The sequence below is a fragment of the Homo sapiens genome, chromosome 2, assembly GCF_000001405.40.
Source record: "Homo sapiens chromosome 2, GRCh38.p14 Primary Assembly".
In the NCBI taxonomy this organism is placed as follows: Eukaryota; Metazoa; Chordata; class Mammalia; order Primates; family Hominidae; genus Homo; species Homo sapiens.
In genome coordinates, this window is record NC_000002.12 from 47,212,045 (window position 1) to 47,240,007 (window position 27,963).

Consider the following 27,963-nt stretch of genomic DNA (forward strand, 5'->3'; position numbering starts at 1 on the left):
TGGATCACTTGAGGTTAGGAGATCGAGACAAGCCTGGCCAACATGGTGAAACCCCATCTCTACTGAAAATACAAAAATTAGCTGGGCATGGTGGCACGCACCTGTAGTCCCAGCTACTTGGGAGGCTGAGGCTTGAGAATCGCTTGAACCTGGGGGCGGAGGTTGGGTGACAGAGTGAGACTCTGTCTCAAAAAAAAAAATTGATCTATAAAGGCTAACAATATTAAATTATGTACTTTGACAGAAAACATAAGAGAAAATCCTTGTGACCATGGATTTGGCAAAAATTCTTCAAAAGAATTTAAAAAGCCCAAAGTACAACGGTATGAATATACTTAATGCCACCAAACCGTATGCTTAAAAATGGTTAAAATGAGGCCGGGTATGGTGGCTCATGCTTGTAATCCCAGCACTTCGGGAGGCTGCATTGGGCAAATGAATTGAGCCCAGGAGTTTGAGATCAGCCTGGGCAACATGGCGAAACCCCGTCTCTACTAAAAATACAAACAATTAGCCAGTCCCACTGCACTCCAGGCTAGGCAACAGGAGTGAGACTCTATCTCAAAAAAAAAAAAAACAAAACAAAAAAAAAAAACGTTAAAATGGTAAATTTTATGTTTTGCATATTTTACCACAGTTGAAAAAAAAACAAAAAACAAAACAAAACCAAAAAAAAACAGGGCATGGTGGCTCATGTCTGTAATCCCAGCACTTTGGGAGGCCAAGGCAGGTGGATCACTTGAGGTCAGGAAGTGGAGACCAGCCTTGCCAACATGGTGAAACCCCATCTCTACTAAAAATACAAAAATTAGCTGGGCATGGTGGTTCATGCCTGTAGTCCCAGCTGCTCAGGAGGCTGAGACACAAGAATGGCTTGAACCTGGGAGGCGGAGGTTGCAGTGAGCTGAGGTAGTGCCACTGCACTCCAGCCTGGGCAACAGAGCGAGGCTCTGTCTCAAAAAACAAAAACAACAACAACAACAACAAAACAGAGAATGCCTTCTCTTCAGGCATTCATCAGGAAAAAAAAAAAGCCTGAACTAAAAATCAATAAATTGGACTTCAAAATTTAAAACTTTTGTTCTTCAGAAGACATTGTTACAAAAATGAAAAGGTGGAACATATAAAAAGCTGCAAAACCTATTTCTGACAAAGGACTTGTTCCAGGATATATAAAGAACTCTTACAACTCTACAAGAAGACAACCTAATTTTTAAAAAGCAGTCAAAAAGATTTTAACAAACATTTCACCAAAGAAGATATAAAGATGGCAAATAAGCACATGAATAGGTAGCTTAACATAATTAATCATTAGGGGGAAATGCAAATTAAAACCTGGATGAAAAACTACTACATTTCTACTAGAATAGAATGGCTAGAATTAGAAAGACTATACCAGCTGGGCATGGGGCTCATGCCTGTAATCCGAGCACTTTGGAAGGCTGAGGTGGGCAGATCATTTGAGCACAGAAGTTTGAAACCAGTCTGGGCAACATAGTGAGACCCTGTCTCCAAAAAAAATTTTTTTTTCAACTAGCTGGGCATGGTAGTCCCAGCTATTCAGAAGGTTGAGGTGGGAGGGTCACTTGAGCCTGGGAGGTTGAGGCTACAGTGAGCCATGTTCGGGCCACTGTACTCCAACCTAGGCAACAAGAGTGAGACTCTGTCTCAAAAAAAAAAAAAAGATAAAAAAAGACTATACCAAATGTTGTTCAGGAAGTGGAGCAACTGGAACTCCTCATACACTGCTGGTGGGGATATAAAAAGGCATGACCACTCAGGGAAATAGTTTGGCCATTTTTCACAAAATTAAACATATACATGCTTACTATAGGATCTAGCCATTCTCCACCTAGGTATTTACCTTACGGTAATGAAAACATGTGCACAAAAGACTTGCACTTGAAGGTTCATAGCAGCTTTATTTGTAATAGCCAAAAACTGTAAACAACTCAATGTCCATCAAGAGTTGAATAAACAAATTTAGTACACCTATATAATGGAATAGTACTCAGGAATAGAAAAGAATGAATTGTTGATACGTGCACCAATATAGATGAACCTAAAAATAATTATGCTGAGTGAAAGAAGCCAGACAAAAAAAGAGTACATGCTGTCTGCTTCCATATATAAAACTCTAGAAAATGCAAATTAATCTGACAGAAAACAGATGATTGGTTGCCTAGGAACAGAATGGGGTGGGGAGTGAGGGGTGGATTACCAAGGGGCACAGGGAAGCTTTTGGGGAATGACGGACATATTCATTATCTTGATTGTAACAATGGTTTTATGGGTGTATGTATGTCAGAGCTCATAAAATTGTATTTTTCAAATATTTGCAGTTAATGGTATGCCAATTATAATTCAATAAAGACTTTCAAAAAAAGAAAAAGGAAGAAGGAAAAAACCTACACTGTACCATCAATAGGCAACACAGGGTCATGGGTAGAAACTAGGCTCTGGAGGCTTCACTGGATTTGGATTCAGGCTCTGTGACATGAGTGACCTTGACCAAATCATGTGATCTATTTAAGCTTTGTTTTCTTCATCTGTAAAATGGGAGTAATGACAGTGTTATGAAGAAAAAATTATCTGGTATTTGTAAAGTACTTAGGACAGTAGCAAAAGAACAGTAAATGTTGGCTATCGTCCTCATCCTCCTCCTTCTCCTCATCATCATTTGTAAGGCTGCTGATTGAAATGCAAGGCACACAGACAGCTAGTAGAGATCAGCATTCAGGTGGTTGGTTAGAAGGGAGTATAAGAAATCAAGAATTCAAGTCACACTGGCTTACCCAGAAGTCCCACCACCCCAAGGAATGATGTTTTCAGGCAAATTTCTGACTAGCCTGAGGCCAGTCCTCAGGTTTTGCAGGCTAGAATTTGCAAGAGAGAGAGAGAGGTTTCTAGCTGACACCTTGTTGGTATGGCGCCAGTAACATTAGAAGATGGACTCTCCTTTGTTTCTCTTGCCCGGAAGTAATTTCCTGGCATATCAGGGGGACCACCTGTCAGCACTCCAAAGCTTTTCACTTAACCACCCTTCATCCCCCATGGCTCACACTGGATCTGGGTGCCACCTGAGAGGACCAGTGCCTTCTGAGCTTCCTTCTGGTCTGGGTAATCACAGCACATCCTCAGTTCCTATCCCAGAATAGCAACAGGCAGCAGCAATGCTATCAGCAACTGGCCACTCATGGCAAGGGCTGCAAAACCTGCAGAGAAAAACACAAGGCTTGGGTGGAAACACTGGACTAATGGGGATGAAGGATGGGGAGGGGAGATGGTTGGCCAGAAATTGAAAGAGCTTTCTCCAGGATCCATCGTAGGGCCAAGTAAGCACAAATCCCAAAGAATGTGGAATCAGCAGTCAGGGCTGTGGTGGGATCCAGCTGACCAGAAGCCTGGGCCCAGGCAATTTCATTATCTGGGAGAAATTCCTACAGGAGCAAGGAGGAGGAAAAAAGTGGGGGAAAGGATCATTCCAATTAATAGCTGAGCTAGACCAGCAACTGGATCTCTGAGAGGGCTTGCACCTGAGTCAATGGTGCTGCATGGTAGGAAGGTGTCTCGGCTTGAAAGAACCACAGCAAAGCATCGGGACTCCCAAGAGTTCATGGCACAGCCAGGCGCAGTGGCTCACACCTGTAATCCCAGCACGTTGGGAGGGCAAGGCGGGTGGATCACTTGAGGTCAGGAGTTCGAGACCAGCCTGGCCAACATGGAGAAACCCCATCTCTACTAAAAATACAAAAATTAGCCGGGCATGGTGGCAGGCGCCTGTAATCCCAGCTACTCAGGAGGCTGAGGCAGGAGAATCTCTTGAACCCGGGAGGTGGAGGTTGCAGTGACCCTAGATCGCACCACTGCACTCCAGCCTGGGCAACAAGCGCGAAACTCTGTCTCAAAAAAAAAAAAAAAGAGAGAGTTCATGGCTCAAAGTCCAGCTCCACTGCTACACTGGTTATGCTCCTTCTGCCACAACCCCCATCCTTGTCTACCCTGCTCTGTGCCCAAGTGACCGACCTCTTCAGATTGCATCACCCAGTTTGCCTTGGGCTCTGGCTTCTGCATGGGTTTGGCTATGGAAGGAGTGGGAGGGATGGGAGAGGCAGAGAAAAGACAGGTAGAGATTTTTTTTTCCTGTTCCCACCTTGCTTTGGAGCCTGATCCTGGCAGTGGCTGTGTCTCTCTGAGACTCTTAGGTCTACCCCATGGTTCTAGTTCTCACCCCTCATCTCTGGCTGCACTCTTTTCACTCCTTGACCTGTTAGGCTTGGTGGTGTTATAAGGTAAATGCACCTGAGAGTAGTAATTTTTTTTTTTTTTGAGAAGGAGTCTCACTCTGTTGCCCAGGCTGGAGTGCAGTGAGGCAATTTTGGCTCACTGCAACCTCTGCCTCCCGGGTTCAAGCAATTCTCCATCTCAGCCTCCCGAGTAGCTGGGACTACAGGTGCGCACCACTATGCCTGCCTAATTTTTTGTATTTTAAGTAGAGACGGGGTTTCACATGTTGGCCAGGCTTGTTTTGAATTCCTGACCTCAAGTGATCTGCCTGCTTTGGCCTCCCGAAGTGCTGGGATTACAGGTGTGAGCCACCATGCCCAGCCTGAGAGTAATAATTTAAGGATACCCTTAGAATGACCCTGTATGGCAGACACACCTGAATGTGTGTTCTGAGCTAGGGAATCTGTGAGTGGTCAACCCAGAGATTTGTTCCTCATGTATGATAAACAGCTGAGCCCCTGTCCCATTCTGTCCCATGGAAGACAGACGTACAGAGGATTGAGGCCGAGTTTTAGATTAAATGAAGGTTGTCAGGTGGAGGTTTTAGGGGGAGGGTGAAAATGCTATATAAACTGCATGATGTTAGCAGGTAGTTGCAATTTTCTTTTTTTTTCTGAGACAGTGTCTTGCTCTGTCGCCCAGGTTGGAGTGCAGTGGCACAATGGCGCAATCTCGGCTCACTACAAGCTCCACCTCCCGGGTTCACGCCATTCTCCTGCCTCAGCCTTCCGAGTAGCTGGGATTACAGGCGCCCGCCACCACGCCCTGCTAATTTTTTGTATTTTTAGTAGAGATGGGGTTTCACCGTGTTAGCCAGGATGGTGTCGATCTCCTGACCTCGTGATCCGCCTGCCTCAGCCTCCCAAAGTGCTGGGATTATAGGCGTGAGCCACCGCGCCTGGCCAGTAGTTGCAATTTTCCTGCCCAGCCCCTGCCACTGGGCGATGCAGTTATGTTGTCCAGCCTACAGCCACTGGACCATTTCTGTATGTAAGGCAGTTCTCTTGTCCAGCCCATTGTCAGGGGACTCTCTTCCCTGTATGTAACCCCCTAATAAAACCTCCTGTCTCATTTGTTGGCTGGAGGTCTCTTCTGCCTCTTGAGCCTGGTGCCTCGCCTATTAAGGTTAATAGGGGATTTGGCACAACAGGTAGTAAGAGCCTGCTGTTGCTAGTCGGGTTGCCTCATCAGCTTTGTTTGTTTCCTAACCCTGCCTCTGCCTAAGCAAAAACCTCATTAGAACCATTTAGTGGATTCTACTTCTGATTAGAACCTGCCTGATGCAGCCACTGGTTAACTACGCCATCACCTGAGGTTATCAGTCTCTAGGCTCTGCTTCCTTATCTTAGATGGGGACACCTAAAAAGAAGTTGTGACCCAGGTGCGGTGGCTCACACCTGTAATCCCAGCACTTTGGGAGGCCAGGGTGGGTGGATCACAAGGTCAGGAGTTCAAGACCAGCCTGACCAACATGGTGAAACCCCTGTCTCTACTAAAAATACAAAAATTAGCTGGGCATGGTGGTGCGCGCCTGTAATCCCAGCTACTCAGGAGGCTGAGGCAGGAGAATCGCTTGAACCCAGGAGGCAGAGGTTGCAGTGAGCCGAGATCACACCACTGCACTCCAGCCTGGGTGACAGAGCAAGACTCCATCTCAAAAAAAAAAAAAAAAAGAAGTTGTGAGGACTGCATGATATAAAGCAGGTAATGAGCCATGGCTTGTGTCCCAGGTGAGGCCCCAGCAGAGGGCTCTCAGGATGGTAATGCGAGGACTCTGTAGGTCTCCTAATTTCTTTCACCGCCTCACTGAGCCTTTCTTCCCCTTAGGTAAACCCAGTTCACTCAGGCAGAAGCAAGAGGAAGAACATTCCTCCAGCTCCTCCTCATGCAGGCCCGAGAGGTGGGAGGGCATTCTGCCAGCCCAGTATATCCACTTTGCTTCGACAAATGTCAGCCTGCCCAGAATAAGGAAGTACCCACAGCCGGGAAAGGTAAATCCAAACCCTGAAAAGACAGATACTGAGCATTTGAAATAACACAGCTTGCAGCGTCCTTGCGGAGCCCTGTTTATGGGGCAATAAACCATTTAAACGACTGTGTGTTGGAACCCACAAGGTCGCCTTGAAAGGCTTTTCACAGACACTGCTAGTAGGGCTCCAGGACGTCTGGAGGGCCAGGATGGGGTGTCTTTTTGGCTTCTGCTTGAAGCTGCTGGTTCCCCTCCATCAGGAACGCCAGCCCCTGGAGAGGCTGCCATGAGGTGAGTACCCTGGGGAAGATCCCAGAGTTCAGGCTGGGCAGCCTGCATCATGGGTACTAAGGGCCAAGTCTGTGTCTTCTGCCTTGTGGTGAGGAAGAGAGAAATTATTTCTTGCTTGGGGATATTGGGAGGAAGGGCTATGGTGTGGTGAGAAAAGCGTGAGCTGTGTGCGGTGGTAAGTGCCTGGAGTCCCTGCTATTTGGGAGGCTGAGGCAGGAGGATCGCTGGAGCCCAGGAATTTGAGGCTGTAATGTGCTATAATCACACCTGTGAATGGCCACTACACTCCAGCCTAGCAACACAGACTTCATCTCTTAAATTTAAAAAAGCATGACCTAAACGTGAATTTCAATCCTATGTTTGTTGCCTAACCTTGGCAAATGTACTTGCCCTCTCTATGACTCAGTTTTATCACCCGTAAGATGGGAATAATAGCAATAATATGCCTAATAGAGTTTTTGTGAGAATTAAATGAGATTATATATAGACATTGGGCTTAGCAAAGGGCCTGGCACTTCGTAAGTGCTAAAAAAAAATTAGTCATTGTCAAGAATGTTATCGCTACACCCATCTTTTTCCATCTGGTTACTCTTCTCCCAGCTCCAACAGAGCAATGGCCCCTGGGAGGCTAAGAGATAATAACTCACCATCTACTTCTGGGAGGGTAATAAACACACCCAAGTAGCTCACATTAACGCAGACTCCGATCAACTCTTGCAGCCCGGCAGAGTCCAGAGGCTGCTGGAGGCAAAGGGCAGAAGCTGGGGAGAGCCAAGGGGCTGGGGCCAGGTGGACTTCGAGCAGACAGCCTGCAGAACAGTGCCAGTGGCTTCTTTGGGCAGCACTTTTTGGGCAGTACTCTTTGACATAGGCCTGGCGAAGCTGGACATGACTAAATACCCGTTTGTAGAAGGCAAAATAGTCGGAGGAGACCCTCTGTTTTGAAAACCCACCAGCACTCCTAGGAAATACAATCTGCTGATGTTAGAAAGCAGATGTGTAGCAGGAGAGAGGGTAACACCAAGGGAACGGGCCAGCTGGTCCGCAGGAGTGTTCCCAAGGCCATAGCATGCCTTGGTGACTTCTTCTAGGTCTGGGACTACCCTGTATCAGGCTCTAAAATTTAATGTGGTCAACAGGCTGAGGGTAGATTTGCCCACTGGGGATAGACTAGTATCAACCAAGATCATAAAACATGAATATATAGACGAGACTACGAATTCTTTCTCTCCTTTTCTCACTCTTTCTCTTCCTCTCTCTCTTTTCCTTATATTTACTGAATACCTACTATATATATGCTAGGTAGCTATAAATAAAAGCATCTACCTTAATAGAGCATGCATACTAGTCGGGGAGATTAAAACATGGCCATCTATGTAAATAACAGCAGAGAATCATAAGCACCAGGAAGGCCACACAGCAGGGGTAGGCAGGGCTTGTGAGGAAGGGGCACACTTGGCCAAGGTAAGGCCTCTCTGAGGAGGTGGCCTGTGAGCCAGGATGGAGGAAAGGCATTCTAGGCAAGGAGCCTTGCGAAACAACTGCCCAGTAGCCCGGGATCCCTGCACACCTTTTCCTGGCAGTCTCCCAGCGCAGGGAGATGAGCTATAGTCAGAACGAGGACCCAAGCAAGCGAGGAATTAATCTCAGGTACTGACTGGTCCATGGAGGGCTGCAGTGGTCTCTCACCACCCCAAATCTCACCCTGGCCAGGGCCGAGATGTTTGCGGATCTAGGCTGCTCCCCACAGCAGTGCTGGAGGGGCTGTCCCATTGTCCCTGCATCCACACATCCTATCCCCAGATTAGTTAATGGAACTTAGTGGGCTGCCATTACGTTTTGCTTGGGTAAAATATCCAAATTGTTTAACCTCTCTGCACGTGTTTTCTCATCTACAAAATAAGGATGAGAGCTAGCTTGCAAGGCTCTGGGGTGGAGATGAAGATTCAGCAAAGAAGTTAAGTTTCATAAAGCTATCATGCTTGCTAGCAGGCATTCCATAGACAGTTAGTTTAAATTGCTGTTATTCATATTATATTGATTATTCTGCCCCAGCCTGTGAGCCACGTCAACTCTTAGAGGAACAGCAATAGAGCACAGGAATGGCACATAGAACATGGGCTCTGAGCACAAAAACGAGCTGTGTAACTCAAGTTATTTAAACTCTCTCTGCCTCATTTGCCTCATCTGCATACTGGGGTTACTAACAGACCCTACCTCATGGAGTTTGGGAGGATTAAATGAGTTCATCCGTATAAAGCTGTTAGTACGGCGTCTGGCACCTGGTAAGGGCCCAGATGTCCACTGCTGTAGTGTATTGCAGTAGATTGTTTCCAAAGGTGGCTGCAACAATTTGTCCCATTGAAATATGAAGAGACAGAGTCTGTTTCCTTCCCCTTGAATCTTGGCTGGCCCTATGACTTGTGGAAGAAGTGACGTTCTGGGACTTCTGGGCCATAAGAGTCCTTGCAGCTTCCATTTTTACCCTCTAGAAAGCCAGTTTCCACGTAAAGAAATCTAAGCAACTTGCTAGGGAGGCCACATGGAGACAGTGAAACCCCAGAGGATGAGAAACCACTTGAAAAAGAGCGAAGGCACCCAGTGGACAGCCAGCACCCGCCGCCGGATGTGAATGAGGCTGTCTTGCATTCCTAAGATGCTGCAGCTGACATGAGGTGAAGCAAAGATGAGTGTCCCAGCTGAGCCTGGCCAAGCTCCTGACTCACGGAATCCTGAAAAATAAATGGTTGTCATTTTATGTTGTTACATATTGGAGTGGTTTGTTAAACAGCAATAGGTTACTGAAATATATATGTACAAACATACATATACACACATATGAAATACATAAATACATAACATACACACATATACACATGACTTCACCCATTATGTGTTGATTTTCTAGTTTCATTCTCATAGACTAACCTATGGCATCTTGGCATCTCTTTAATATCCTACCTATATAATCAACCAGAGGGAGTTAAGTCAAAGGGTAAAATAATCCAGAAAAAGTGAAAAGTCATAGTCTCCACTCTTGGGACGCTTACGGTTAAAATGACTAAGGTACCATGAAACACAGATTTTAAAGCCCTCACATTTGCATAAAGTTTTGGACTTTCAAGGAACTATCAGAAATCATATTGATTTTCCTTCAAAGCATCTAAAAGCAAATAGTTAACACTTTGACGAATATTTTTTAAGTGCCAGGCACTAATCTAAGCGCTATACATGTAATGCATAGTGTGGCAAGTTGTACTTTCTGCAGATGGCTGCCATGATATTTCCCATCCTACATGCTCTTCCTGAACCATGATGTTGACACTCCACCCATCGAGTGGTGGGGTCTATGTTCCCTCTTTTTTAACCTGGGTTGGGCTTTGTGACTGCATTGGCCAACAGAATACATCAAAAGTGAAGCTATGTGACTTCCAAGGCTAGATCATAAACATGCCACACACTTCTGCCTAGCTTGCTTTTAGAAACTAGCCTCCATGCTGGGAGAAAGCACAAGTCGCATAGAAAGACCACATTGTAGATATTTTGGCTGACAGCCAGCATCCACCACCACACATGTGAGTGAGCAAGGCTTCGAGATGATTCTGGCTCTAGCCCCAGCCATTGTCTGACTGCCATGGCATGAGAAACGCTGAACAAGAACCACCTCCTCGGGTCCAGTCAATCCCCATTAAATGATTGTTGTTTTAAGCCACCAAATTTTGAGATGATTTTTTATACAGCAATAAATAACCAGGACACACGGTTACTTCAATGATTATTTGATTGCCTACATCCCCCTACCAAAGTGTAAGCTGAAAGAAAGTGGAAACTGAGTTTGTCTTATTTACAGCTGTGTCCCTAGGATCTAGTTCGAGTAGATTTCTGTTAAGATTTTGTTAAATGAGGCCGGGCATGGTGGCTCACATCTGTAATCTCAGCACTTTGGGAGGCCAAGGTGGGTGGACTGCCTGAGCTCAGGAGTTTGCGACCAGCCTTGGCAACATGGTGAAACCCCATCTCTACTAAAAATACAAAAATTAACTGGGCGTGGTGGCTCACACTTGTAGTCCCAGCTACTCGGGAGGCTGAGAAAGGAGAATTCCTTGAACCCGGGAAGCAGAGGTTACAGTGAGCCGAGATCGCGCCACTGCACTCCAGCCTGGGCTACAGAGCAAGACTCCGTCTCAAAAAAAAAAAAAAAAGAATTTGTTAAATGAATGAACATGGCATTGCTCTTATGAGGTGCTGGATGAGGTCAGTAAGGCAGGCATTCTTATTTTGTAGATAAGGTAAACTAAGCCCAGAGAGGTTAAGTGACTTGTCTGAAGTCACACATCCAATAGCTGTCAGAGGTAGCTTAATACCGCCACTGTGGGGATTAAGTTTCAACAGGAATTTTGGAGTGGACACATTCAAACCATAGCATGGTCCGAAGCAACAGGCTAACCATGAGGAGAAGTTGGCCCCAGGAATAGATCTCTGTTCCCAGAGCAAACTCTTTTAAGGCGAAGGCAGCTGCAACACTGATGAGAGAAGATGACATGACTCCTCCTGTCTTGGAAACAGACTGCAGACCAGCAGAGGGGAGAAATGTTCCCCATGTTCTCCTTTATCCCCTTTCTTCCAGCCTTCCCAAATTTGACAGTCCATTTTCTTACCAATGGAGGGAAAAATGATAACTAAGATTTCTCTTGAATCTTGGCAACAGAGCTCAGGCTTTTATTAGCATGCAGTAAAAATGACATTAACCTCAATAACAAATAAATTAAATCCTGGTTGGCTCAGAGTTTAACATCTTGGCCTTTCTAAGTTAACTTACCAAGTGATTTACTTCCTTAGTGCCTTTAACCCGATATCCTCAGTAGCTGGCCTTCTTGTGGATGCCACTTATCTTACCTTACAGCTGTGTGTCCCTAGGACACACAGTAGATCCTTGGGATACAAATCCCAGACAAACCTGAAAATGAGCTTTCGAAACAAGCCATAAGGAGTAAATGTGGCCGGGTGCGGTGGCTTACGCCTGTAATCCCAGCAATTTGGGAGGCCAAGGCAGGAGGATCTTTTGAACCTAGGAGTTCGAGACCAGCTTGGACAACATGGTGAAACCCTGTCTCTACAAAAAATTTAAAAAATTAGGCAGGCATAGTGGCATGCACTTGGAATCCCAGCTACTCAGGAGGCTGGCGGGGGAGGATCACCTGAGCCCAAGAGGTTAAGGCTGCAGCAAGCCATGGTGCTGCCACTGCACTCCAGCCTGGGCGACAGAGGGGGATCCTGTTTAAAAAAATTTAAAAAGTAAACATGTTTTAGACATGTTTTAGAGGCAGCTCGGGAGATAAGGGCCCTGAAGTAAGCAGAAGAGTGGCAGGCCAGCCCTGATTGTGAGTGTGTACCAGTTCTCTAAATTACTGGAAGCCTAAATTTCCCCATCTGTCCAAAAGGGAATAGTGTCACATTAGCATGCAGGACTTCTCCCTAAAAATAAAATTCTATACTAGAACATTTAACTTTACTCCATAAGTACTTACTACTTTCCGTGAACACATTGAGGTGACAGAGCCCCAGTGGAATGCAAAATATAGCCTCTGTTCTAAGGACTTCCCCTCTACTAAGGGAGATAAGAGTTACACATATAGAACAGCAGCCCATGGAGATGGCTTCATCAACCATCCCCTTCCCTTTAGTCTGATTTTATTTTTTATAGTAACTGCTGTGGTTAGGATGTGGGTGAGGGACTTAAAAATATTAGGGGAATGGAGAAAATGAAGGAAAGGAGAACAAAGAATAAAGGAAAAAAATGAAATTGGTTCCTACATGTAGTCCAAGAGTTTCCTGGTATTCTGAGGAAATGGAGGTTCTCCTCCCACCAGTACTATACCTTGAACTTACTGGGGTCCTCCAGGCTGACCGAGACTCCCCGGCCACCAAACCCAGGACGGAAGCTGCAGAACTGAACCTGATAAGTCAGTCCAAAACAGCCCATGGAGGGCGGTTTATATGAATTTGTAAGTGAATCACCCGGCTCCTCTCCCCATCTCCTGTAGCATCCCAGCCTCGAGGCTGGATCGTGCATCAAGGTTTGGCCAGGGCAGGTGACGCAAAGGCTATAAGAGTCTTGCTGCTCCTCTCCTAGCTTCTGGGACCACTTACTGACTGATACAATATTAGAGATCAAAATGCCTCCCCCAAGGAACACCCCACTCTAATATGACTGTCATTGGATTCCAGCCTCCTTTGGGCATTACCTTTTGTTTCAGCCTTTCATAAGTGATGACAGAGATTTGGGTTCACATAACCCCTGTTTTGAGGAAACATTTATCAAGCACTTACTATGTGCTTGAAAGAACACACTGTTCTAAGTTCTTTACATGAATTATCTCGATGCCATAACTGCTATTATTATCTCCATGTTACAGATGAGGAAGCTAAAAAATTCTAGTGCAGTTGCTATCTATAGCGAAATGCTCCAAAGAGATGTTTTGAAGACTGTTGAAGGAATTGAGGAGATTGGAAGGCCAAGATCTGAACAAATGTTTGGCCACACAGTAAATACATGGCAAGCTGGCAGGATGTCCTTTTTGTCTAGCTAAAGAGAAAGTGACCCAAGGGAGGGGCTATCCAGAAAGAATATTGGATTGGGAGTTGTGGAACGTGGGACACAAGGTCTGAACTTATCACTGATCAATAGACCTTGACCAATTACCTCTCTGGGCCTAGGTTTCCTATCAGTGAAATAGGGGTTAGGGGGCTGGCTCTGGACACCCAAGCAGCTTGACACATATTTACCGTATGGCCAAACACTTGCTCAGGTCTTGCCCTTCCAATCTTTGCAACTCCTTCAGTGGTCTTAGGGACGCTGCTTTAGAGAGTAACCGTACCAGAAATGTTCAGTTTCGTCATCTGCAGTAGGGGTCAGAGTAATGACCTAAGGTTCAATGAGGCCACTAGTTACTGGCCCTGGGTTCTGCAGAGCAGCTGGCGGTGGCATTCCTGGGAAATGAGCTGGCGGTTGCCACAGTTGGGCTCTTTCCCTGAACAGCTGGTGTGGAGAGCAAAGAGGGGGTGGGGGACAGGATAACCTCTGAGTCTCTGGCCAACTGCAATGTCTATTAAGGGCGGCCCAGTTGGCTGCTAGCCAATAACCCATGCCTGTGTGCTTTGCAAGTTGTAGTCTCTCCTTTTGAAGGTCTCTCTCCAGAAGATGAGGAAGGAATTTGTCTCAGTCCACTTCCACACCTGTCCACCTGAGCTGGGCGTTAGCCTGAGCCTTTGCCTCTGTATGGATCCCGTGAGTATCCTCCTTCCCAAGGCCAATGTGTGGCCCCTCACATGGGTTCCAGGACCACAATGCTTTCTTGAGCAGGCTTTGGGTGGTGATGGTGGGTGGTGGTCTCAGGGAAGATCACACTCCCTTTCTTCACACTCTGTTCCAAGCACAGATACGGGATCTCTTGTTTTTCCAAGATTGTAAGGTTAACACCTTCAAGGCTGAAGTTATTGGGGCTGGCAAAAGAGAGTTATAATTACAGAAAAAAAAAAAAAACCAGTTAAGTTGGAGGCTGCCTATGAACTCTCCTGGAGTCCACTGGCCCATGGCCTGGGGTGCCCTGCTTGCCTTTTCCCTCCAGGCCTGTCAGGCCTGCCATTTAATGGCAGAGCTCACTTAACTTCCACAGAGAGGAAGGCCTTCAGCCAGATCTCTCCTCTCTGGCGTCCAGGTCCCAACTTTCTATTTACCCAAGAGATAAGAGGAAGTCTCCCCTCTTCTCAGGTGACTGGGGTAGCTCTGTCTGCCACTAACCACATGACAGTCATTTATATTAGCATACAGAGCCATTTATTTCCTCTTGTCTCAACCTGTCCATTCCAGAATCAGCTCTGAGCCTTTCCTCTGCATAACGAAAAAGCCCAGTGTTTTTCCCAAAACAAAAAGCAGTCTTTTCCCTTAGGTGGATTGTCCCGCTTCCTCTTGCTAAACAATAAACAGCTGAAGCTTTGGAATTGCTGTGTGCCTTGCTTCAAGCCTTCAAGCTTGCAAGGATATCAGGGTCTGACATGAGAGCACCCCACCATATAAGTAATAATCAGACATGTACAACCATATGTGAGCCAGTCACAGATGGAGGCAGAAGGTGCCAGTCAGCCTTCAGAAGCAGGTCCTTCCAAGAGTCAAGGTTTTAAACTAAGCATACAATTAGAACGGCCTTCCAGTCTTTAGTACATGACTTCATCAGTCAGCAAGACCAAATTACCCCTGTGTTTATTTAGAAAAAAAAAAAAAGGCAATGACCTATGAATAAACAGCACTTGACATTGAAAATTGCTACATTAAATACCCAGCTCCTCTGCGCGATTACAGCAGCCTCCGGAGCTCTCCCAAATTGTCACCTAGGATGAATATGACAGCAAACAATGCTTTAAAAGTAAGTAATCTGCTCTATAATTATTTTAGTGGCTGCAGCCGCCAACCGGCAGGATCACTTATGAAAAAGGATGCAGTCGTTCCTTATTAAAAATGCATGAATATACAGTCTCTTGATTGTGGAAATAATCAGCAGACTATCTAATGTAACAAGACTTAGCCACAGAAGAATTAATTAGGGTGAAATTGATTAAGGAGAAGAGGGTAAAAATCTATCTGTGATGATTCAGGCTCCAATTAAACTCAAGCATTAATTCTCATATTCTTTTCAAATTAAGAGCCTCATCTAAATGCTCCTCATTAATATTCCAATATATCCCACCCTCCTTTAACCAGAGAGAAATGCAGACATTTCTAATGAAAGCAAAAGATCTCGTTCTTGTCGACTCTAAAGCTTCTTCTGTCTTAAGAATTTCAGGAGATTGGAGTTTTTTTAATTATTTTAAATAAAAGATGGGAGGGGGTGGGTCGTGAAACCACCAAATTCATTCTGGTCTTGAGCGCTGAAGATTTTGTTCCGAGATTTCTCAAAAGCTAAAGGAAGCATGCAACACAAATAATTATGTGACAGCCTCTTGAATTCTCTTTGTCTCGTGGTAACCTGCTCCAGTACAGATAAGAGAAGCTTGAAGGGGTCATATATTCCATCCCTTGCCTTGAGACAGAGCTGTACCAAACCAGAGACCCATATGTAATTATCTACCATCTCCTGAGAGGCCTCTGGGGACAAGGACTCCACTCCCTTGGTAACAGGATGGAGATCAGGCAGCTAATATATTCCCAGCTCAGAGCTCTTCCTCCCCCTCCTCCTTCTGCAGCCATTTGAAAGATGGGAGGAGAAGCTTCCCCACACCATTGATTTTTCTTTCACTTTTCTTCCATTAGGAGCCCACTGTGGTTTCTGGCTCTTTGTGTCCGGACTGTCCTTATAATTCACAGGTCACTGACCTTTCTTTGTTCCTCCAATGACTGCTATCTTTGTAGCTCTTCTTCCATCTGCTGCCTTGGGTTTTCTCCCGTGGATGTTAAGGTTGGGTACTTCCTTTGTCCGAGCGAGGACAGGCAGCTCATGGCCAAGAAGCATCCCCAGGGCTGGAGCCTCCTCTCCTCGGAATGCTCCCATCCAGCACTAGAGTGTCCAGAATCACCAGCCTTATCAGCGAAATGCGGGGAGATAGGAGTAAAGAAGCAATTCCAAGCCCTTTGTTTTGCCTTGTATTATCTTGTTTTCTCTTTACCACCCTGAGAGTGGTCATGGTTCCTATTTTACTGGGGAGTCTGAGCTGTTCACAGAGGCCTTCAAGCAGGACTATGAGAACAGGAAGCAGAATTTAGTCTGCCTTGGGGAGTCCAGCCAGGCCATCCCCAAAGATTTATCAGGCAGCCGCCAGAGGAGAGGGCACTCCAGGCAGAGGGAACTGCAGTAGGGGATCTGGGAACAGCATGAATGTGGCAGCTTCATCTTCTTGAGCCTACAAGGGATGTCCCATTTACATTTATGAGAAAATATCCATGGTGTCCCCTCTCCACACAGCCCTACTTGCTGGCCTCAACTGCTTCAAGCATAGGTGGGCAGATGTCTGCGGAGGGAGAATCTGGGGTAGATAGGCCACCATGGAGTTGTGGGACTAAAATCACTGAGAGCCTCAGGAAGGAGTCCAGGCATTCCCATCCTCCCTTAAGCTGCATCCTTCAGGGGTGCAGCCGTATGACTCTACGTCCTGCTCTACCGCCTGCACCTCTATCCCCATGTTCACCACACATGACTTTGAATGATAAGGGAGGAATATGGAGAGGCGACAGAGGCCGGTCTCTTCTTTCAGGAAGCTCCTTCACTTCCATGTAAATTTATGGATGCAAATTGTTATGTGGGGGCAGAGACCCTGAAGCAGCCAAGCCCCAAATGCAAATAATTATGGTGGCGGGGGCGGGGTGGTCGCCCAAACTCCACCCATCCACTGAGCCTAGGATCCCAGCCTCAACCAAAATGTCCCATGCCCTTCACACACGGCCATGGCCAATCCTCTTCTTCTCTTTCCCTCCCGCCCTTTTTCACCCAATTTGTCTCCCATCTGTTCCTCAATTCAGTTATTAGCAAATTGGTTCTCAGGATCTACCTGGGACTTTAATTGTGTCTTTGGTACTAAGGAGGGTGCAAGAGAGAAACATGTGATTCCTGCCCTAGAGGATGTCACAGGTTGCAAGAGAATGCCATTAACTCAATCAAAGCAAGTGAAAAACCACAATGAATAGTATATCATAAAGTATTAAACTGCATGCCACCAATTTAATGTTGAATGAAATCAGAGAAAGGAAGGAACCCCTGGGAGGGAGGCTGGGGTGATCAGAAAGTCTGCTGGGAGCAGATGGGACTTGAATTAGGTCTTGAAGCTGAGTTGGCATCACGTGGATTAAGGAGAGATAGGAAAGATGCCAGTGAAGGGCAGGCCTGAGCAGACACAAGCTAGAAGGCACATTAAGGAACCCTTCAGCCTGGCTGGAGGGGAAGGTACTTGTTGAGGAGTAAGGAAAGCCAAACTTTGCAAGACCTCGAACGCTAGGTTTAGGAATTAGGATTTTAGTCTAGACTGTTGCTTCCAAAACTTTAGTGTGCTGCAGAGGAATGCTGGTTAAAATGAAGGTTCCCAGCTGGGAGCAGTGGCTCACACCTGTAATCCCAGCACTTTGGTTTTTATATTTTTTTGAGACGGAGTTTCACTCTTGTCACCCAGGCTGGAGTGCAGTGGCGCGATCTCGGCTCACCGCAACCTCCGCCTCCCAGGTTCAAGCGATTCTCCTGCCTCAGCCTCCCAAGCAGCTGGGATTACAGGCATGTGCCACCATGCCCGGCTAATTTTGTATTTTTAGTAGAGATGGGGTTTCTCCATGTTAGTCAGGCTGGTCTTGAACTCCTGACCTCAGGTAATCCACCCTCCTTGGCCTCCCAAAGTGCTGGGATTACAGGGGTGAGCCACTGCGCCTGGCCAATCCCAGCACTTTGGGAGGCCAAGGTGGGCGGACCACTTGAGATCAGGAGTTCAAGACCAGCTTCACCAACATGGTGAAACCCCGTCTCTACTAAAAACACAAAAATTAGCCAAGGATGGTGGCACATGCCTGTAATCCCAGCTACTTGGGAGGCTGAGGCATGAGAATCACTTGAACCTGTGAGGCAGAGGTTGCAGTGACCTGAGATAGTGCCGCTATACTCCACCCTGGGCGATAGAGTGAGACTCCATCTCAAAAAAAAATAAATAAATATAAATATAAATACAAAAAAGATTAACCAAGTGTGGTGGCAGGTGCCTGTATTCACAGCTACTTGGGAAGCTGAGGCAGGAGAATCGCTTGAACTCAGGAGGCAGAGGTTGCAGTGAGTCAAGATCGTGCCATTGCACTCCAGCCTGGGCAACAGAGCAAGACTCTGTCTCAAAAAACAAAAAGAAGGTTCCCAGGACTCAGCCACCATAAGGATGGGGCATTTTAAACAAGCACTCTAGATGACTGATGATGGCCCACATACGTTTGCTAGGTCTTGCATCTTTGTCCCTCCTGTGCAGCTGGCGTGGCCTGTGGGTAGAGCCAGGACTTTGTTTGCACCATGGAAACTCCAGGGCCACAGAGGTTTCACCACTCTTGGCAAGGATGTTAAGCTTTGTCTCCTAGGAACCCAGAAACTGGGCAGGAATTATTTTGACTACGCTGTAGCCAAAGGGAAAGCAGCCCTGATGAAAAACTATTAGAGTCATTCCTTTAGAAGAGTCGAGAAAGTGCCTGAGACCCTGGGATCATGTGGGGCCTCTGTTGCATTTTCCTACTTATTAGAAGTGTGGCAAACAAGTAAGTTTGGTGAAGATTTTTTTATATGATAAAAGTGTTCAGCTGTAGGTTCCTTTATTTTTTATTTTATTTTATTTTTTGAGACGGAGTCTTGCTCTGTCATCTAGGCTGGAGTGCAGTGGTGTGATCTCTGCTCACTGCAACCTCTGCCTCCCAGGTTCAAGCGATTCTCCTGCCTTAGCCTCCCGAGTAGCTAGGATTACAGGCATGTGCCACCATGCCAGGCTTGTTTTTGTATTTTTAGTAAAGACGGGGTTTTACTATGTTGGCCAGTCTGGTTTCAAACTCTTAACCTCAAGTGATCGGCCCACCTCGGCCTCCCAAAGTGCTGGGATTACAGGCATTAGCCACCACGCCTGGCCAGCTCTAGGTTCCTTTAAACCTAGAGGAAGGTTTAAATAGCCATTTTTAAATAATAGCCATTGCCCCTTAGCACTGATACAGACGTTGCCTCCCAGATGTGCCGTTTAGTAATTGTGTTTTGTGGCAAGTTACTTGCTCTCTCTGTTAAACTCTGTTAAACTTCTCAATTTTTATTGGAAATTTTTAAACCTAGAAAAAAGTTAAAAGGATAATACTGGAAAACCAGTAAATCCTTTATCTATATTCACCATGGGTTAACATTTCACCATTTGCTTGCTTTCTTTCTCTCTCTTTCCATATATATGTATATATGAATATAAAAATATAAAATATGTGAATATAAAAATATATTCACACATACATATATATGCATTTACTAAAGCATTTGAAACTCAAAGATATCATGACACTTAAGAACTAGGACAGGCCAGGTGTGGTGGCTCATGCCTGTAATCCCAGCACTTCAGGAGGCTGAGGTGGGAGGAACACTTGTGGCCAGAAGTTTGAGACCAGCTTGGGCACCATAGTGAGACCTCATCTCTACTAAAAAATTTTTTTTAATTAGCTGGGCTTGGTGGCACGTGCCTGTAGTCCCAGCTACTGGAGAAGCTGAGGGTGAGGATTGCTTGAGCCCAGGAGTTGGAGGTTGCAGTGAGCTATAATTACATCACTGCACTCCAGCCTGGACGACAGAGTGAGATCCTGTCTCAAAAAAAAGAACAAGGGCATTCCTCTTATAATTTCTCTTATAACCACAATTTCATCACATCCAATAAATTTCACATTCATACAATAATATTAGCTAATGTAATAAATATATTTCGATATCCCCAATTCTCCCAAAATATCCTTTATGGCTTACTTATTTATTTTTAGAGACAGGGGCTCACTCTGTTGCCCAGTCTGAAGAGCAGTGGCACTATCACAGCTCACTGCGGCCTCCCACTCCTGGCCTCAAGCTATCCTCCTACCTCAGTCTCCCGAGTAGCTGGGATAAAGGCACACACTGTCATATCTGGCTAATTCAAAAATTTTTTTAGAGATGGAATCTCACTGTGTTGCCAGGTTGGTCTCGAACTCCTCTTGAACGCCTCAGCCTCCTGAGTCACTGGGATATGACTTTAAGAAAAAAACAATCTGGTATACAGCAAAGACTTTAAACCATGCTTCTTTAGTTTCCTCTAATCTAGAACAGTCCCCCCGCCTTTGTTGGTTGCTTGTTTTTCACGACATTAACATTTTTGAAGAGCCTAGGTATAAGTTGCCTTGTAAAATGTCTCACAATCTGGATTTGTCTGATTTGATTCAGGTCAAATACATTTGAACACGAACATGCCATGAAGGTGAGGCTGTGCCTTCCCATGGTATCCCATCATACCAGGCGGTGCACCATGTCTGTGTGTCCTGTCAGTGGTGATGCTACATTGGATCACTAGGCTAAGGTGCACACTTGCATTTCGACACTTGGTTGCTTAAAAGCACTATGCAACTCTTATTAATCAATATAGTCAAATTATAAAGTCCTTGAGGGCAAGAACTGAGGCTTCACCTTTGGAAAATAGCGCTTTACAGTTTACAAGACTCTTTCATACAGATTACCTCATTTACTCATCAGACACCCCAGAGGGAAATATTTCATTCCCACTACACAGGAATGCGGGATCTCACTGTGCTTTGGAGCCTGACATTGAATCATAAATCTACCCATTAATAAATGTGTCTTATGACAAGTTACTTAACCTCTCTATTAAACTTCTGTTTGCTCAACTGCAAAATGGGGATAATAATGTCTTCCTCCCAGAGTTGTTATGAAGACCAAATGAGGGTAATGAAAATAAAATGCCCGCCACAGTGCTAAGCACATAAAGAATACTTGAAAAATGCAAGGGCTGTGTTTATAGAGCTAAATACGTTATACACACACATGCTTACATACGCAACATTCATGTATACACTGATGTACAGGAAGGTCAAGGTCTGGCCTGTGGCCAACTCAGCTGAGTAAATAGCAGAGCCCAGATTCAAAGCCCCATCTGCCTAACTCCAAATCCGGGTCCCATGCCTGTTCTCCACACAACACCACCCTGCCGGTGATGGGCCAGCCAGTGTTGCCTTGTATGAACCATTTGGTCAAAATCTTTTGAATAATGTGTATAAAAACTAGACTTGATCTTGGTTTTTTTTTTTTACGTGGAGTCTGGCTCTGTCACTCAGGCTGGAGTGCAGTGGCATGATCTCTGCTCACTGCAACCTCTGCCTTCTGGATTCAAGAGATTCTCCTGCCTCAGCCTCCCAAGTAGCTGGGATTACAGGCAGGCACCACCATGCCCAACTAATTTTTTATATTTTTGGTAGAGACAGCGTTTCACCATGTTGACCAGGCTGGTCTCAAACTCCTGACTTGTAGTGATCTGCCCACCTTGGCCTCCCAATGTGCTGGGATTGCAGGCATGAGCCACCGCGCCCAGCCAGACTTGATCTTATTTACATCCAATTTCATATCTTATTTACACCTAATTTCAAGAAGCATGAAGCAAGGCCCTACTTCTCTGATTATACAGAGTTGGCCAAAGGGCCCCATGCTGATGCCCTTTCTTCCCAGAAATCAGCCTGTGTGCTGCCCTCAGCTCATTGCTTTGTGCTACTTGGCAACTTCACAACATACCCAAACTCACCACATTAAGCAGCAGTCACCGTGCATCTGGGAGGCAACACATTGTGGCTGGACAATACTGCATAGTTGACCCCAAACATTCCCCTGTCCTGCCCTGCTCCTTCAGGGTCTTTGGTCTGGAGTAGGGGCAGGACTGGAGAATGGTCCTTGGTCAAGGTCCTTGTTTTAGGGGCTCAGGACAGGCAGAGGTCCCTGAAAGTCCCCTCAAGCATTTTCATTGGAAGTTCCTGTTCCTACTTTCTACTAAGCACCCCAGCCGCACCCCAATTTACATAGGGAAAATCCACAGCGGCACTAAGCCATCATTTTGAGTCAAAGGTCTTCATCCCCTTTGAATGACAATGGGTCCAGTTAAGAATTAATTCCACCCAGCCAGGATTGTGAAGTGTGAGTTTGCTGTTCAGGTGAGGTCAGAGGTCTAGGGAAGGAAAAATCACTTCTAGCAAAGGTTTCACGGAGGAGATGGGCCTTGGGGAAGGGGAGTTGGATAGTCAACTAGGAGGAGGAAGGCATTCCTGATTTGAGGGAGTGGGACACACATCGTATTAGTAAAGGCACAGCAGTAGGGTAGCAAAAGGCCTGGTCAGGGAACTGAGAGGTGGCATCTGCAGGGAGGAGGGGGAGGAGCCCCTCCCTTTCAGACACAGAACAGACTGGGGCTGTAGAGCGGCTAAATATTTCATCGATGGAAAACTGGATATGGCCGTGGTGCTTAGGATGTAGACTCTAATTTCATGGCTGGGTGTACCCAGATGGCTGATTAGGCTGCAGGAGAGAGGCTGCCTCCCCATTCCTGGTTTCCTAGCCACAGGAGGATGCAGACACTGACCTTTTTTTCTCAATGAGGTCAGCAGGCATATGTGTTCTGGGTCTGAGAAGACCAACAAGGCTTCCACCCCCGCCAGACCCCATTGCTTCACAGGTCACAGACCCACCTCGGTTCCAGTTTTTCAGCGGACACACATTTCACATCTACTATATGTCAGCCATCATGGTGAGCACAAAAGAGATACAGATGTCTCTGCCCAGGGAGACAGCTTAGGGAAACAGACCCCCTAACAGGTCTCTAACTGTGGAGACCGCAAATGAAGTGCTAGGTCTAAGCTTCACAGAGAAGGTGCCCCCTGTGCTGATGCAGTCCCTGCAGAGAGGAAGGGAGGGCTGCTAACCAACACTCAGTGAGGACTGACTTCTGGCTAGGCACTGTGCTAGGAGCTTATTCTGTACTACAACGTTTAATCCTCACCGTCACTCCAAAAGGAGATACCATAACTGCTAATTGCCCAAACTGATGGCATTCCAGCAGGAACATGTGCAAAGAATACATGTGAAAGAACTTTGAACCATCAGGACCATTTAGCAGTTTGGAGAGGCTGGCACATTCAATGGAGGACCAAAGGGGCTGGCAGGAAATAAACCTAGGAAGGTGGATGGACTGGGGCTCTGCATGTCCAGATAACACATTTGGACTTTATCCACTTAGCTTTAGAAGGATAGTGAAAAGGGTGGGGCCAAGTGTCCTCTTTCCCTCTTCCACCCCATGGGCTCTCTGGCTCTGGCCTCCAGATCGTAATAATTCCCCATGATATCAACAAATATGGATTACACACCTTTACTGTGAGCCAGGTATCTTTCTGGGCACTGGGGAAACAGCAATGAACAGGACAAGGGTCTCATCTCACGGAGCAATGGAGGAGGGAACAGTGGAGAGACACAGTCGTCTAGTAAGCAAATACATAAATAAAAGATAATTTCCCGTAGTCATAGGTGCTCTGACAAAACAAAAATATAGAAATGGGACAGACAGCGATGGGGGAGGTGAAGCTGCTTGAGTAGGGACAAAAGGGAAAGCCCTCTTGGAAGAGATGACATTTGACCTGGGACCTGAAAGGTGATGGGCCAGACATGAGCAGATATGAGGAAGGGCATTTCAGAAGGAGGCGCAGGCACTTGCAAAGACCTGAGGCAGGAACCAGTTGAGTGGGCTGGAGAAACATGAGATTGAGTTTGTTCAGAGCAGAATGGGCTGGGCAGGGAGTGAAGGAGGACAGGAAGACTTACAGGCCAAGGTGAAGTTGGAATTTTATTGTTCAATACTCAGCTCAAGGCCAGGCACAGTGGCTCACGCCTGTAATCCTAGCACTTTGGGAGGCTGAGGTGGGCACCACAGTTTTCTTTCCTGGGGTTTGGGAGAAATACTGGGGGAACTTGGTGTCAGGGCATTTTCAGAGTTCTTGCTTTACAGAAGAGATGGTTCTCCTGCCTCCCATCTAGGCAGAAATGGTAATATTGGGGTGATCACCCTGTGAACAGCAGGATAGGGTACTTTCTGGGCCGGAGTGTTGGAACTCAGAGAGCTTTCTGCATCCTCCCATACCAACTTAAACCTTTTTCCTCAAAGAGAAAGCCCTGACCCCATCAGGCACGTATGTGCTTCTGAACAATATCTCCAGGGGTGAGAAGGATCGCCCCGCTGAGAGAGGACTCAGGACTGCTGGAGGAAGCCTAATACAGTGAGCAGAGAAGGGCTTTGGAATTAGGCCTTGGCTGTGTTTTTGGGGGCTGTGATGGTCATTTACTTCTGTGAATTCTTGTTTCCTCTCCTCTCCATGGAGCTACAGTTGGTAAGGATATAGGGGTCTCAGGACAGGGAGTTGGGGGAGATAGTCAATTTCTCCCATTTCAAACCCTTTCCTGAAAGTAAGTTAAGTTCTTAGAGAACAATGTCCCATGCGATGACATTCCTGGGCCACAGAGGCTGCTCTTCCTCAACAGCCAGGCAAAGAGCCCTGGACATCAGACAAAGCCTGAGCTGATTCCAGAGGGAATAAGCAGTGAGAGGCACAGCATGGGGCAGCCAGAGGGAGTAGTCCCAGGTCCCAGAGCTGGCAAGGAGGAAATGCCAAGGCCACACAGGACAGATGGCAGATGTTTAGAGAACATTTTTAGGGACAGATTCCTTTCCCTTCACCCATGAGCCATTGCAGAATTTCATCCTCTTGGCAGCCAACAGGGTCCCTCTTTCTCTGAACCAACCCCTCTGTTGCAGGGCCATCTATCTCTAGGACAGTCCTCCATGGGCAGGGAGAAGACATAGCTAAACCCTGACCTGATGAGTCCTCAGAAAAACTAAGTCAGCACAAGTCATCTGAGTCACAGAATCTTGAGCCCTTTTAACATCTCTGCTATTTTCCCCATCAGTGGCTAGATTGCTGTTTGTCCTGAGAATGAAGTAGGAGTAGGTCGGGTGCTGGCAAGGTGGTTTCTCATGCCCCAGCCTCTGGACCATGGGAGCTGGAGAAACAAAAAGGGCTGAGGCAGAGACCTAGAAAGTCCAAGTACTCCCCTCCTCAAAAATGAGCTGGGGCCGGGAACAGTGGCCCACGCCTATAATCCCAGCATGTTGGGAGGCCGGCACAAGAGAATTGCTTGAGCCCAGGAGTTCGAGACCAGCATGGGCAACAAAATGAGACCTTGTCTGTATTAAAAAAAAAAAAAATGAGCCAAACATCAGGACTGGAGCAAATGGGCTGGAGCCTACAGGGGATGGCAAGCAGGTCAGTCCTGGAAGGACACTTGGGAAACGTGGCAGGGAAATGCTAGGCTAGGATTGCAGCAAGAGCCCAGCTTCTTCATGACTGCACCAACCTGGAGGTAGGAGGGAGAGGGGGCTGATGAGGACAGGCCCTGGTTGGGCTGTAGTGCAGAGGCTGCGCTGGGACCTAAGCCAAAGGCAACACACGCTCCCGAAGTTCAGAGAAAGAGGCAATTTGTGTTGGGCTGGTTATCAGCGCCTTCCATCCCTCCAAAAAACCCGTGCTGGGCCTGGTCTTATTGCAGTAGTTCTCTCTTGCTTCCGCCAGGGAGTCATGGAAACAATTTGGGGTGATAGCGAATAACTTTGTGACCACCTCATTCACTTAGAGAACCTCCTTCCACTTTTCCATCCTCCTTTGGGCATTTCTTATACCCTAGCCTAGAAGTGACAAGAAAGGAGAGTGTTTTTCTGATTTTACAGAGCAGAGCATCACTCCTAGCCAAAGCTCAAGATGAGACAGAACTTGAGGCCACGTGTTTTAAAGAGTGCAAATTCATCCTCACAAATTTTTCAGATTCCATCTAAAGCATCCTTAGGCTGAATAATGAAGAATTCAGTTCTCGTCCCCACCCCCTCTCTCTGCCTTTCTCCACACACACATACCCTCCCCCGCACCCATTTCAGAATCTTTTCTTTTTCTGCTGCAGTCTCCTCCTCCTCCTCCCTCACCTCCCTTCTCAGCAGGAGCACACCAGGACAAGAAAATGCTACTACAGGAGCCTCCCAGCCACAAGAACTGGTTTCTCAGAATGAGTAGTTAATGTAGACCTGGCCACAAAGTCATTGCCACGCTGAGCACATTTCTGTCTCACCATGTCTAATGTAACTCAAGAAATAATGCAATTGCCTCTAGTGGACTTCACCCAAACTGTGCCCTGGGTTGCCCTGGGGAGCTGGTTCTGCTGCTTCAGACTAACTCATTTCTTGTGGCAGGAGGCCGCTGATATGGTCAGTTCCCAGGGATCAGCTGCTTGAGGTGGGGGTTGGGGTCGGGGGAGGGGGGGCAGTCAGAGGGTGTTGGAAAGGGCACCTATAAAACGTGGATTCATAAATGGGCTGCAGAGAGACTGGAAAGACTCTGAAACTGAATGCACAAATTTGTATGTGCATTTTTACTGGGGATGAGGATCAATTTTTTTTGTCTGATTCTCAAAGAAGTCAGAGACCCTCAAAATGGTTACTCATTTTGTGTAGTAGGTAAAACAAGAAATTAAAATGTTTCTCTTTTCATTTTTGCTCCCCAGTGACTTTGAGTTTTATGCAATTTCTTGTATAAAAGGAGAGCCTGAGTCCATGGAAGTTGGGATTGAACATCCTGAATATGCAGTTCCTTGGAGAGCCACCAAGAAAAGACCTAAGCAAGAGACATGATGTCACCTTCGGGGAGGAGGCTCTTCAAGCTGTTTGGCATGAGAAGAGGAGGAATGAGGAGGATCACTGGCCTTGAACCCCCAAAGAGAGGCTAGAGCACCTTTCTAGGACCCAGTCCAGGGTTTGTCTTGAACATCCAGCTCCAAAAGAGATGCTGTGCAGATTCAAGCTGCCAAGTCCTGAAGGACCTGAGGGAAAACCCAACCCCAAGCAGCCCAGATGGTATCTGAGTATCCTGTGCCCTACCCACGAAGATCAGGAGCCTAAAGGCTAGAGCTCACTGCAGAACCAGACCAAAGACAGTTTAAGGGCCATTGAGCCAAGCCTTCCTGACCTCCCATGGAGAGGGGAAGAGAGAACAGGACCTCCACTTATCCACCTACCCGCTGCTGAGTCCCTTTAGCCCTTGGCATGGTAATTAACGGTCAGGAAGTTATGCATCAGCCTCAGCAAGCTAACATGGCAGGAGATCCCTCCTGACAGCAGAGCTAATAAGAAATTTGCTAATGCAATTTATCACTTTAAAAAGCCATATGTCGGTGGGGATGAGCACTTCTCTGCAGCAGCTAGTGTAATTGTCAGAACAGAGCAGCGAGCAGCTCTGAGAAGGGGGTGAGGATGATGTCTTCACTAAATCAGTGGTGCAATGCAGCAGGCGAGGGGGCTGGGAGGAGGGGTGTGGTGCTGGGTGGAGGGCTCCCAGCTCTCAAACTCCCAGGAAGCCAGTGCTGCAGACCTGTTCTGGGGCCCCATTAAAAACCAGATTCCCTGAACTCCAGCCCCTGCTGCCTTTGAGCTGCATGAACCTGCGCTTTGGTTCCTGCCACAGTGTTAAAAAAGAAGCGACTCTGTCTGCAGTAATGGCTGATCTAAGTCTCAGCCATTGAGTGTCAACACACAGGACCCCACTCCAGCTCCTCCTGGGGGCAGGGCTGATGCCATGTGCACATTTGGTCTTTCTCTCCCAGACCCCTGCGATAACTTCATCCAGGACAAGGGCCACTGGTCCTTAGTCAGAGGCAGGGAAAGATTAGAAATCCACCTCAGGCCCAACAACATCTCTGCTTTCAGTTTAGACAAAAGGCAAATTGCTTTGAGTACCCAGTGTTTGCCAAAATAAAGAGTGGTTTCTGCAAAGGGGAAAAACT

The 27,963-nt window shown here is 46.6% G+C and overlaps 3 long non-coding RNA genes across 4 annotated transcripts in view, besides 1 other annotated feature; 2 read left to right on the forward strand and 1 right to left on the reverse strand.

Moving 5' to 3' along the window:
- The window catches only part of EPCAM-DT (EPCAM divergent transcript), a 152,670-nt gene that overhangs the window by 19,640 nt on the left and 105,067 nt on the right, over positions 1-27,963 (reverse strand). The window contains exons 2-3 of one of the 2 annotated variants that reach the window (NR_110207.1): positions 8,765-9,279; positions 1,905-3,215 (exon numbers count right to left, since the gene is read on the reverse strand). The exons of the other annotated variant lie outside the window; for it this stretch is intronic. This is a non-coding gene — a long non-coding RNA (EPCAM divergent transcript). Of the gene's footprint in view, positions 1-1,904; positions 3,216-8,764; positions 9,280-27,963 lie in introns of those variants that run through there. 2 annotated transcript variants of the gene reach the window in all.
- On the forward strand, positions 6,115-9,313 carry LOC105374588 (uncharacterized). The gene is made up of 2 exons (XR_940063.3): positions 6,115-6,547; positions 9,040-9,313. It is a non-coding gene; the product is annotated as an uncharacterized LOC105374588 (long non-coding RNA).
- On the forward strand, positions 14,873-27,961 carry LOC124907763 (uncharacterized). Its single transcript, XR_007086311.1, has 2 exons — positions 14,873-14,970; positions 26,689-27,961. It is a non-coding gene; the product is annotated as an uncharacterized LOC124907763 (long non-coding RNA).
- Positions 26,619-27,373: an enhancer, noted in NCBI's record as "H3K27ac-H3K4me1 hESC enhancer chr2:47465802-47466556 (GRCh37/hg19 assembly coordinates)". NCBI's record gives its function as "activates a minimal SCP1, AML or CMV promoter by ChIP-STARR-seq in naive H9 embryonic stem cells {active_cell/tissue: H9 hESC(naive)}" and the evidence as "EXISTENCE:reporter gene assay evidence [ECO:0000049][PMID:30033119]".